The sequence below is a fragment of the Homo sapiens genome, chromosome 8 (assembly GCF_000001405.40).
Source record: "Homo sapiens chromosome 8, GRCh38.p14 Primary Assembly".
Classification (NCBI taxonomy): domain Eukaryota; kingdom Metazoa; phylum Chordata; class Mammalia; order Primates; family Hominidae; genus Homo; species Homo sapiens.
In genome coordinates this window covers 11,979,685-11,992,645 of record NC_000008.11, presented here as the reverse complement: position 1 = coordinate 11,992,645, position 12,961 = coordinate 11,979,685, and the positions used below count along the sequence as shown (strand labels likewise).

General features: G+C 43.2%; 1 protein-coding gene across 1 annotated transcript, besides 1 other annotated feature; it reads right to left on the bottom strand.

Annotated features, from left to right (window-relative positions):
• Nucleotides 5,746-6,246: an enhancer, noted in NCBI's record as "H3K4me1 hESC enhancer chr8:11843909-11844409 (GRCh37/hg19 assembly coordinates)". NCBI's record gives its function as "activates a minimal SCP1, AML or CMV promoter by ChIP-STARR-seq in naive H9 embryonic stem cells {active_cell/tissue: H9 hESC(naive)}" and the evidence as "EXISTENCE:reporter gene assay evidence [ECO:0000049][PMID:30033119]".
• DEFB135 (defensin beta 135) lies at nucleotides 8,056-10,390 on the bottom strand. Its single transcript, NM_001033017.3, has 2 exons — nucleotides 10,262-10,390; nucleotides 8,056-8,225 (listed from the first exon to the last, which is right to left on the bottom strand). Exons 1-2 carry the CDS (start codon nucleotides 10,323-10,325, stop codon nucleotides 8,056-8,058), a joined length of 234 nt encoding a protein of 77 aa, NP_001028189.2. The 5' UTR covers nucleotides 10,326-10,390.
• Between the last annotated feature and the right edge of the window lie 2,571 nt (nucleotides 10,391-12,961).

Below are 12,961 nucleotides of genomic sequence, written 5' to 3'. Positions count from 1 at the left end.
TCCAGTAGAATGTGTCCTCTCTGAGGCCCAGACTCCCTATGTAGACTGTAAGGAGTTTGGTTAAAATTGAATGGGATCAGAGATGGCCTGGAATTGTAACTATGGTTACTAAGTGTGCAGAGTAAATGCATCCAGACATGGCTAGGAAAACTGTCAGACACTGAGGGAGACAGAGGGGTCCCTACTGGAAGAGCACCAAATCTTCTGAAACTTTGGCCTCATAACGTCCTGGACAGTCTTAGGCTTGCTTTTCATCTCACTCCTCCTAGTTGGGTGCAAGTTCTCTACACATACAGATAAAGAGAAACCTGAAAACAATCCAGCCTGCTGACAATCTGAAGAATGAGGTGTGATGACACTTTACAGACTAACTAGAAAGCTGATCCCCAAAGCCAGGGAGTGAATCTACGTTCTCTATGCTAGAAAGTACTCTCTGGAATCTGGCTAAGTCCTGCATGGACAGAACTTTCCACTGCTACATGATATCAAAATAAGGCTATTACATCAGGGCCAGGCAACCTCTATGCCTTAGACCCTGCTCTACTATTCGCACTAGCCAATATTAAACCTGCTTATCCCAACTCCCTGCTCCTTCCAACAGAAATTTGCTAATCCTGCACTGCCTTCACCTTACCCTTGACAAGCCATATACCCTGTCAGGAAATGAACTTTGTAACAACCAAGGTAGCTGCAAACTTTATTCTTTTGAGAGAAAGTGTGTATGTTATATGCACACCCTCCAGCTTTGCTGAAGGAACCTGAACAGATATTCACTAACTTTGGTTGGTCTCTGTACATTGACACTTCCAAAAGAAATCCAATTCCAAGATCCAAAGCTTTTTAAAAAATAATTTAATTATTTACCAAATCTATCTGTATGGAAACAAAATGGGGAAGGGATTTGTCACAATATGGAGCAAACTCTCTTCAAAATTCTTTCTGAATATCGCTCCCTGAAATCTTACTCATTCAGTAGTGAAAACTGCATTGTCTAAAAGCAACATCTAGAATTTATCTGGGATATCTAGAATTCGTAATAGAGATTCTGAGAAGCCTCAAGGGTAAGAACAAGCTCTGTCTTTAGGGAAACTCATTTTTACTTAGAGCTAATTTTTGACATTTTTTCCAATTTTATTGAGATATGATTGCCAAATAAAAATTGTATATTCAAGGTGCAGGACATGGCTTGATTCCATATGCATCATGTAACGATTACCACAAATTTCTATTGTTTCTAAGCCACCCCACCTGAGAAATTTTGCTACAGCAGTTCTAAAAGGCAGAGAGAGCATCTTATATTTTCTGTATTCTGATAATTTGACATCTGAAGTCTTGTTGAACCTGGAGGGTCTGCCCCTCCCAGAGTTAGCCAACTCCTAGAGACAGTATGCTTTTCAAATCATACTTGCCCACAGTGTGCTTTTCAAACCAACCAATTCAGAGTCCACACCTCAACCACCTCCTTTATCAGGCCTTCATACTACGGGACCCTATCCACTCACCCTAATCACCCAAGTACCAGGCAATCAGGGATATTCCCTGGACTCCAGCACCTGCTAAAATTATTCGAATTTTAGCCAATCAATTTAGAGGTTTATTTTGTTAAAGTTAAGAAAAGTGGCCAATGACACAGCCTCAGGAGGTCCAGCTTAATTTTATGCATTTTAGGGAGACAGAAGTTACAAGCAAAGACATAAATCAATGCATGTAAGCTATACATTGGTTCACGGGGCACGGTGGCTCAAGCCTGTAATCCCAGCACTTTGGGAGGCAGAGGTGGGTGGATCACAAGGTCAGGAGATCGAGACAATCCTGGCTAACACGGTGAAACCCCGTTTCTACTAAAAATACAAAAACTAGCTGGGCATGGTGGCAGGTGCCTGTAGTCCCAACTACTCGGGATGCTGAGGCAGGAGAATGCCTTGAACCCAGGAGACAGAGCTTGCAGTGAGCCGAGATCACACCATTGCACTCCAGCCTGGGCGACAGCGCGAGACTCCGTCTCAAAAAAAAAAAAAAAAGAAAGATATACATTGGTTCAGCCTGAAAAGCAGGACATCTCAAAGCAGGGGGAGGGGAGCTTCCAGGTCATAGGTGGATTCAGAGATGTCCTGGGTGGCATTTGTTTGAAGGAGTTAAGCTCTGCCTAAAGAGTTAAAGTCAGCCTAAGTTAATTTAAGGTAAGGTAAGGTAAGGTAAGGTGGGAGGGGGTGGGTGGGATTGTGGAAGGCAAGGTCCCTGTCGTGTAGATGAAGCCTCTAGTTTGCAGGCTTCAGAGAGAATAGATGTGAATCTCTCTTATTGGACCTTAACCCATTTCCTGTTTGCCCTGAGAATATTCTTGTCTCTAATCCTAATGTAACATATACATTTCTGTTGCATTAGGATTACAGACAATTTCTGTTTGCAAATGACTCCAAGAACAGTTTTTATATTTTATTTTCACATTGAAAGTCAGTCAGATTTGCATCAGCTTCAAAAAGCATGTTATATAAAATCATATGAGTACTGGCCATCTGCACTTTTTTTTTTTCTGAATGGGCAATGGGTTAAAAAGTGTCAGACTCTCCTGAAGAGCCCTAGTAAAGGAAGGAGATTCTCTACAGAATGTAAATTTCCCCATCAAGAGACAGCTTTGCAGGGCTATTTCAAAATATGTCAAAGAAATGTATTTCAGGATAAAATACTTTTATTTTCTTTGGGGCCCACTATCTATCATATGATGTTATACCAGATTCAGTTTGGAATTTGGCACAGTCTGTTTTCTCAGCCTTAAGATCGCTGTTTTAATGTTAATGCTGGTCAGTTGTGTCTAAACTCCAAAGGGAGGAAGATATAATAAGGGATCTGCAACACCTCCCACCTTCCCATCATTGCCTGATATAAGAATAGCTACTCCTGCTCTCTTTTGATTCCCATTTGCATGGAATACCTTTTCCCACCATTTTACCTTGAGTTTGTTTGAATCCTGCTGTGTTAGGTGAGTCCCTTGAAGACAGTGGATATTTGGATTGTGATCTTCAATCCATTCTCCCATTCTGTATCTTTTGAGTGGAGCATTTAGGCCATTTACATTCGATGTTAATATTACATTCTATGTTAATATTGAAATATGAAGTACTTTTCTTCATCATGTTAATTGTTATCTAGATATGTTTTCTCACTGTGTTATTGTTTTATAGGCCTGTGAGTTTTAAGTTTTTAAGAGGTTCTATTTTGATGTATATTGAGCTTTTGTTTCAAAGTTTAGAACTCCTTACAGCAGTTCTTGGAGAGCTGGTTTGGAAGTGACAAATTCCCTCAGCATTTGTTTGTCTGAAAATAACTTTATTTCTCCATTTACAAAACTTAGTTTTGCAGGATACAAAATTCTTGGCTGACAGTTGTTCTGTTTAAGGAGGTTGAAGATACAACCCCAGTCCCCTGAGGTTTCTGCTGAGAAGTCTGCTGTTAGTCTGATAGGTTTTCCTTTGTAATTTCACTGCTGCTTTTTTCTTACTGCTCTTAGAATTATTTCCTTCATGTTGACTCTAAATAGCCTGATGACTATATGCCTTAGTGAATGTGTAATGAATTTCCCAGGAGTTCTTTGAGCTTCTTGGATTTGCATATCTAGATTTCCAGGCAGGCGAGGGAAGTTTTCCTCAATTATTCCCTAAAACAGGTTTTCCATACTTACTATTTTCTCTTCTTCCCCAGGAACACCAATAATTCTTAGGTTGGGCCACTTTACATAATCCCATACTTCTTAGAGACTTTGTTCATTTCCTTTTATTATTTTTCTTTATTTTTGTCTGATTGGGTTAATTCAAAAGTCTTGTTTTTAAGCTCTGAAATTCTTTATTCTACATGTTCTAGTTTATTGTTAAAAGTTTCCACTGTAATTACAAAATTACAGTGGAAATTTTGTAATTCCCTCAGTGTGTCTTTCATTTCCAAAAGTTCCATTTGTTTCTTTCTTGATGATACCTATCTCTCTGGAAAATTTTTCATTCAAATCCTGAACTGCTTTTTAATTTCTTTAAGATGGTTTCCACCTTTCTCCAATATCTTCTTGAGTAGCTTAATAATTAATCTTCATATTTCTTATCTGGTATTTCAAAGATTTCATCTTGATTTGAGTCCATTGCTGGATAGCTAGTGTGATCTTTTAGGTGTGTTATAGCACCTTGTTTTGTCATATTACTGGAGTTATTTTTCTGGTTCCTTCTCATTTGGATAGACTACTTCTTCTCGTTATTCTTGAATTTATATTTGATATGACTGTGTTTCTCTTATTTGCTTGTTTGTTTTTAAATTTCTTTTTTCCCCTTAAGGATGAGACTTTAATTCTTATAGTTAATTATAGCCTAATTCAGTTCTTGGTGCTTTAGAGGGTGAAGACCCTTGGTTATAGAGAGTCTTTGTATGATGGTTTTCTTATATGCTAGTTGTAGTAGCAATGTGCTCAGTGTGTGAGCAAGTTCACTGTGTCCTATGGGGTTGGAATGGTAGAGGTCTCTTAAAGCTTATCCCATTCCCCCATAGTGTGGACTTATTTATTTATTAATTTTCCCCCAGTATTTTATTTACTAATTTGATAGTTCAGGCTTCAGGCCAGTAGGGGAGGTGTCCCTGGGTAGGAACCAGCTGTGGCTAAAGCAGGTGGGTGAATGATGTCCCAGGCTTGACAGAGGAGGCCAGAGGAGCTCTCAGTGAGTTACACTGGGGTCTTATTGTGGGAAGGGTTGGAGCCACCTCAGCCCTGCTGCCAGATCACCAGGAAAGTTACCCACCTCTCAGGCATGCTCCTGTCCCAGTGTTCCTGCTGTTCAGGAGCTGACTGACAGGACTTTTTTTCATGACCTTTTTTTCATCTGTAGGAATGTTGATGTTCCAAATAGAGAGGAATTGTGGCTCTGCCTCTCATGCAACCTTGAACCTAGAGGGTGCTCCTCCTGTGGGGATGTGTTCCAGGAAGACTGTCTATAGTTGCACCCACACTAAGCTCCCATGGGAGAAGCCCAACTGTGCCTATGGTGGTGGATAACATGGGAAAGACTTCCTTTTCTCCAAGACCCTTCACATGCGCCAGAGCTGTCTGACTGTTGGGATACAGTGAAGACCTTCCTTGCTGAGCCCAGCACTTCAACTGTGTGTCTACTGAAGGAAGCCTTCCATCTGGTGCTCAAGGCCTGCCTCCTGGATTCTTTTGTCCCACAGGGTGTTCCCTTGATGTGATGCAGTCCTCCTTCCCCTGCAAGTGGGAGTCCCTGGAAGTCCCTGGGAGCCAGGTCACTGTGAGTGTTCTTGCTCCTCTGGGTCTAGCTGCCCAGAGAAGTTGACACACTCGAGGCTGGTGTTGGGGAATGTCTGCAAGGGATCCAGTTATGTGACCTATGCTCAAGTTTCCCTGCAGTGGGTAGCAGCACCAGCTCTAATGGGAGTGGCAAGGTTGTGACACAGATTCTGTGAAATTCCTTTGTTATTGATAGCCTTAGTATGTTAGCTTTCTTGAATGCGGGTTATAGTAGTAATGAACTGGTCATGTGGACGGACTCAGGACCTCCTGTTCAGCCAGAGTGGTGCAGGCAGCAGTGATAGCTGAGATCCCATAGCGGTTTTCTCCTTCCTGGGTGCAATGTTAATCTACCAGGAGATACTGTCAAGGACTGTGTGGGTTGGCCTCCAGCTAGGAGGTGGCGCTTGCAAAAGAGCAGCAGCTGCGGTAGTAGCCCTGGGATTTTTGCTTGCCTGATGTTGCCCAGAGGGGGATACTCTGGTTTCTCCGGACATGGGCGGGGCCATGTCGCTCCCAGGAGACTCTGTCCTTTGCGTTGAGTTACCAGGGCGGGTGGCCGGGCAAAGCCAGGTAGGGGCTGGGTCGGGAGGGCCTGCACACTGGTCTCCGTGTGCAGAGAAAGAAGGAGCTTCTATGGGTATTGGGGGATGGGAGCGGGTCTCAGGCCACTAGGTTAATGTTTCAGAGGGCAGCGTTGCTGCCCCTGCTGCACAGAAGAGTCTGTGCAAGAAGTAGGGAGTAGCAGGCGGTGGTAAGCTCCACAGTTCCTACCCACTTGACAAGGCAGATCCACTCCCACGGTGTTCCACTGGAAGCAGCGAGCTGAGTTCCTGTCAGCCTGTAATCAGAACTCGCGGCTGCCGGGAGTCATAAGCTTTCCCCGCAGAGATTGCAGTCCAGGCGTTCAGGCCACGCCCCTCCCTGTCCGCTGCAAAGCCGGCGTGTTCCCGTGGCTCCTGCACTTGCAGTTTCTGCACCCACGACTTCTGCACCTACGGCTCCTGCACTTGCAGCCCGCTTTTCACCCTCCCCGCCCCGGCCCTGGCCAAGGAAGTTCGTCCCCACCGAGGTTGTACTGTGAACCCCGTTGGGAGATTCTTTCAAACTGCAACCAGCGCCTGAACTTTGTAGCTGGCCGCAAGGCCTCCTGTGAGGAACAGTAAGGAATGGCTGCACTTAATCTACGCTGGGATCTGGAAGTGCATGCAAGGGTCTCCCCCTAAAAGTATGGAATAGTTTATAGTCCATAACCATCCCCAAGTCGGTTCCTGCGTTAGTTCGGGTTAGGGCTTCCCCGCCAGCACCCCCACCTTGTGTCCTGGACTTTCAGGATCCCTAGTGGGGATGTGTATCCCAGAGGCAAATTCACTCTGTCACACTCAGGGGACTCGCAGCCCTTCGACTGACTCAGTGTAGGCTGCAGTCTCCTGCTTCCTTCAAAACATCAATAGATTCCTATGGTTTTCCTGTTCAGTTATTGCGTTGCTTCTCGAAAAATAGTTCACAACGTGAATCTGTACACACTATTTTGTCCTTCCAAGTGGAAGAGGTATGCTAGCAGTTCCTCTAATCCACCATTTTGGAAAAGCATTCCTAATTTTTCAAGGATAGAAACATTTTTATGGCCTGGTCATCCTAAATAGCACAAAACGTCTTTGTCCATTGCAAACTATAACATACTCAATATTTCAACTTAAATATTTTCAATATGACTTTCACTTCATTGTTTTCAACATCAAACCACGAGTGTTCATTAGTAGGTTCCCAAGTTAGACAATCCAATAGAAAAATGGACGAACGTCTTGAAGGGTCATATCACAAATAAGGATATCTAAATGGCCAATAAACATCTGAAAAGGTGCTCAGCTTCATTAGTCATCCATGCAACACAAATCAAACCCCATATGTCATCACTATATTCTCCCTAGAATATCTTTTTAAAGGCATAAAATACTAGATGTGGACAAGAATGTAAAGCAACAAGAATGCTCACACATTGTGGATGAGAGTATAAATTGGTACAACCAATTTGGAAAACAATCAGATGCTATGTATTTACTAAAACTGAATGTATGCATAGCCTGTGCCCTAGGAATTTCTCTCCTAGGTATATAACCCCCACAGAAATCCCTGCACCACAACCCTATTTATAAAAGTGAAAACTGGAAACTACAAATAAGACCATCTTCACTTACAATATTCAAATAAATTGTAATATCTTTCCCAATGTATTACAGTATGCCATTGAGAAGGATAAACTACAATTACATGAAACAGATTAATAAACTTCACAAAAGTAATGTAGTGGGGAAGACGCCAGACACAAAGGAATACCTACAATTCCATTTATATAAAGTTCAAAAATAGATGTCAGCGCCTTCCTATTAAAAGTCAGGCTAGGAATTATTTTGTGTGGAGTAGTGACTGGTAGTGCCTGGGATGTTGTAACATTCTTTTGTGGGGGCAGGATGCTGGTTACACAGGTGTGTTAAATTTGTGCAGTTCATGAGGATGTTTACTCATGATTTGTACATTTTTTAATTGTATGTTATACTTCAAAAAGTTCTTAAGAGACTTTTAAGAAGCGACAAATTAATAAAAAGAAAAATACTCAATACAAGGAATTAGAGTATTTCTGTAAGAGAGACAATAAAGAGAAATACAGCAGACACAGGAACACTGATAGGCTAAAGCCATTGTTTTAATCGAATGGTGCAACTGAGAGGGATCTGGGTTCCCAGAGGAAATCAGCAACAGCTTTCAGGTACTCACAACTATTTCCCAGTCAGTATAGGTAAATATTTTGGGTTTACACAGCACAAATGTATAGTATCACACAAAATACGATATTGTTCGTTTTTTAGACATTTTGGCCGGCAAGTACCTTGCAGTCGCCAACATGAAGCAAAGATTTTTTGTATGTAGACATTGGGTCCACTTCTACCTGCCAAGAGAAACAAAGGTTAATGCACAGTTAGTGTCCTGAAGTGTCATGTTGTCATGGATAAAATTAGACCTCAGACCATAGTTTTCACTTTTTAATAATGAATTAGACGCGATCAAAGATACTCAAGACATTTTATAGCTGGATGCCCCTTTTCAGTTGCTCTTACCTTGTTTTCCAGGGGCCCTATTATAAGCCATTATATGAATCCACAATTAGTTACATGAATTACTGATCAACTGTGTGGAGTTAACAGGACCCAGCATATTCAGCTTGAGACTATTGGCTTCAGAAAGAATATTCAGACATCGAAGTCATCCCAGGAGCCTGCAGAGGTCCCATACCAGGAGGCATGCAGGGTCTGGAATAGCTACCTGAGGCAGTTTGTGATTATCAAAGTGTCAGCATAAAGAAAGAAGGATCACTGAAGTGGAATTTTAGAAGCCTGCACTTCTACCCCTGTATTCCCCAAAAACATTCTGCATGACTTTTTGTCAAGTGCTTAATCACAAGGTACTTAAGAAGTACCCATTCTCCCATGGGTACTTTGCACCCATGGGAGAATGAGTGTGAAATGGTTTGAAATACCTGAGACAAATATGGAAATTTATTGCTAGTAATTTTTCTACACCTTAAGAACTGGGAGCCTCTGGAAACCAGAGGGTGGAGGAGGGGTAATAGGAAGGCAGTTTAAGAGGGTAAGGGTGGCCCTGAGTTGCCCCTACTGTATCACCTGCTCTTGCATGCTAAGTCTTATCAGTTTCTCCACCCAGGTGCCCCCATGAGTCCATGGATTGAACCTTTGTGGTGTGAAAATAATCAATGTGGTATGGTCAAGGGCCGTTAGCAGGCAAACTTGCCCACCATGTGCTCCCTAGACCTCAGGCACTTTTCTGGGGACAAAGGAGTCCAGTAGAGACACACTGCAAAGTGTCGGAGGTCCCACCATGCAGGACATCAGCCATCATCTCAACATGGTCCTCATTCGTATCTGTCTTCGTTTTATTTATTTTTTTTAATTTTTATTTTTGAGATGAAGTTTCACGCTTGTTGCCCAGGCTGGAGTGCAATGGCACCATCTCAGCTCACTGCAATCTCCGCCTCCTGGGTTCAAGTGATCCTCTTTTCTCAGCTTCCCGAGTAGCTGGGACAGGCATGCGCCACCATGCCCGGCTAATTTTGTATTTTTAGTAGAGACGGGTTTTCACCATGTTGGCTAGACTGATCTCGAACTCCTGACCTCAGGTGATCCACTCGACTCAGCCTCCCAAAGTGCTTAGATTGCAGGCGTGAGCCACCGCGCCCAGCCTCATATCTGTCTTTTAAACACTTCACACTTGGTCCTTGAGTGATACGCTTTATATATGAAGGTTTGAGGCAAAGGGTAGGGGCTCTCTGCTGACCCCAGAAAACCACAAGCAAAACAGTTTTGAGAACCTCCACTTTAGTGACTGAAGTAGACTCTTCTCATTATCACCAAGTTGCTGGCTTCTGTCCACAGAATGTAAATTCTGACCTCTCAAACTGATGTTTCATAGGACCTCATCATGCTATAAGTTAGTGTAATACATCTTAACCAGCTGTGTCTGTGGATTCTGCTCAGCATAAAATTTACCTTGGCTTCTAAATGAGTGAAAAATAACATGGGTGGCTGACTGTAGAAGGCAAGTTCTAAGAGCCCTCAAAGAACAGTCTCCTTCTCATCCCCAAGTCCTCGCTATTCTTTGAAAGTCTCATCTTTTTGCTCTGCCCTACTTCTGCCAGTACCAACAGTCCAGCCTTCCCCTCAAACTTCACCAGCTCCTCAAACCAAAATCCATAACCAGTTTCTTTTCTGAAGAGAGCTACCTCCTGTTCTGTGTCCTTTGGATCTTTTCTCCATTCTCTGGACCAGCCCAGCATGTCCATCTCTGCTCACTTTCCTCCCTGTTGCAGCTTCCTTTGTCCAAGTCCTGCCTTTTTCTCACTCTTGTAGAACCTCACACCTTTTTTCCCTTTACTATTCCTAATTCTACAAGGTGGGGACTCCATTTTACCTGGTGGAACATAGAAGAGTAAGTTAAGGACCACGAGGGCCAAGAGGACGCTCCTTGTGGCCATACCAATCAGCAAAGAAGCAGCTGTGACTCATCGGAGAGTCACTCTCTCCGCAGCTTTGAAGAGACGGGGAGCTGCATGGCTAGTGAACCTTTTGGAACAAGAACATCTGCCTGCTCCACTGAGCAATCCAATCAGCAAAATGTCTGTTTGAACATGACATCCCTTCATTAAAGCACACTTCCTGGGTGCCACATGCATGCTAGCAACTGCATGAACACTGTGTAGGCAGCCCTATTCTAGGCCCTGGTAGGGTGCTGTGTAGGTGTCTGTGTATCTTCATTGTACATCCACTAAAATGCCTATAGTGTGCAGAGAACCATAAGGCTGCCTTACATAGTTGACAAAGAGTTTGTTTTTTTTTTCAACCTTACACACACACGAAGTCCAGGTAGGCATGATTCTCTCCATTTTAAAAACAAAAATAAAGAGTCTCAGGTAGAAGAAATGACTTTCTCAAGCTCACATAGATCCTAAATGGTAGCAACATGATTTATAAGCAGGCTTCCCTGACTCCTATATACAGAAGTACTAAAGTATGGCCTTGCCCAGTTCTGGTATAGCTGTAATGTCTTTAGGAAAATAAGAGCTCCTCAAAAACAGCATGGAAAAAGCAAGTCCCCATAACACCCGCAACATGACCCAGGGAAAAACACTGAGTCTATGGCTCCCCATTGAGCATATGCTGTGTGCCGGGTAATGGGGGGGCATACAAAGAATTTATGACAAAAGTCTTGCTTGGAGGGACTAAAGTCGACAGTGTTTGACAGTTTTTGAAGTGTTTTAAGTTTTTCAGCAACTTTATCTGATACTGTATGAAGAACACAAAACCCAGAATCAGAAAGTCTTTCTGGTCTGGACTCTGCATGCAGTAGCTTGACAAGCTTTTAATAAAGCACGTACTTTACCTCACTGACCATCAGTTTTCTCACTTGGAAAGAAGGTTGTACACCTGGCCAGGTGCAGTTGCTCATGCCTATAATTCTAACGTTTTGGGAGGCTGAGGAAGGTGGATTGCTTGAGCTCAGCAGCTCAAGACCAGCCTGGGCAACATGGCAAAACCCCATCTCTACAAAAAATGCAAAAATTAGCCAGGCATGATAGTGAGCGCCTGTACTCCTAGCTACTCAGGAGGCTGAGGTGGGAGAATCACCTGAACCCAGGAGATCAAGGCTGCAGTGAGCCATGATTGCACCACTGCACTCCAGCCTGGGTGACACAGTGAGACTCTGTCTTAAACAACAACAACAACAAAAAATAGGTTGTACTCCATCATTCCCACCTATCAGGAAGGCTTGTCGCAAGGCCAAATGAAGTAACTCTTAAGGCCAGTCCTTTATAGAACATATAGAACATATATTTAAGGAACTATTAGACTCATGTAACAGAAGAAGACATTTAAAACTATAGATATTGGCCAGGTGTGGTGGCATGTGCCTGTAATCGCAGCACTTTGGGAGGCCGAGATGAGAAGATCGCTTGAGGCCAGGCATTCAAGATCATCATGGGCAACATAGTGAGACCCCTTTCTCTATTTAAAGAAATAAAACTAGACATGTTGCTTCTCCAGCTAGAGAGTGAAATAGCCAGGACTAGGAACACATGCTTCCCTCTCTCTGTCCCTGTTTTATTCACAAGAATGCATCAAATGTATGCCACTTCAATGGACTCTTGTTTTCCAACTTCAGGATGTTTGCGATGTGGTTGAGATTGCACATCTGTGAAAGACTCATAAAGAACTGCAGAGCAGAAAATCAGTAAATAGAGAAAGAATAGAGGACCTGAGTTTTGAGGAGCACAAAGAGAAAAGATTAAGCAAGCACAAATGCATTAAGGGACTCTCCTGAGACCCACTTTCCAACCTGCAGCATTAGGCACAGCCTGATTTGCACTCTCTCAGCTGCCATGGTCCTGATCTTCTGTTCTCCAAGAAACTCCCTCTGTCTCCATCTCAACCCTTCCCACTGTGCCGTCCAGAACCACAGTTCTACTATAAACATACCTTCTACTTTATGTCTTCCCCAAGAACACTCTTCCATCTCTGTGTCTTGGCAAAATGCTAGGTCCTTCTCTAAGGACACTGCTTCCTGGCAGCCTTGGTGACTGGAAGCTGTTCATTGACCCAGGCTCCACACACCAGAGGACAAGTAAGCCCCACTTCACAATCTCCTGAACGATACCTGAGATGATCCTGACACCGCCTTTCCCTCACCCTGTCCACATTGAATTGCTCGTCAAACGTTCCCAGTTCTGCCTTCAGCATGCGTTTCACACTCGCCCATTTCCATCTCCACTGCTGCCACTGCGTCCATGCCATCACCTCTGTCACCAAACTCAGTAAATGGCCTCTTAAATGGCTCCCATATCATTTTTAGATATTTACCATTTATTCTCCACTTGGTAACCAAAATGACCTTTTATAAAACTGAAATTGATTTATGCATTTGCCCTGTGGAAAATCCTTCAGGATGGCTTCCCCCTGGCCCCACTCTTCACAGGTCAGGACTATTACAATTCAAGGTGAGTTTTAGGTAGGGACATAGCCAAACCATATCAGCATCCTCTCCAAGTATTTGCTTCTTAAGATGATGTTCTTGTTCTGTATCACATCACAATCTTCCTGGATTGCTTTGTACCTT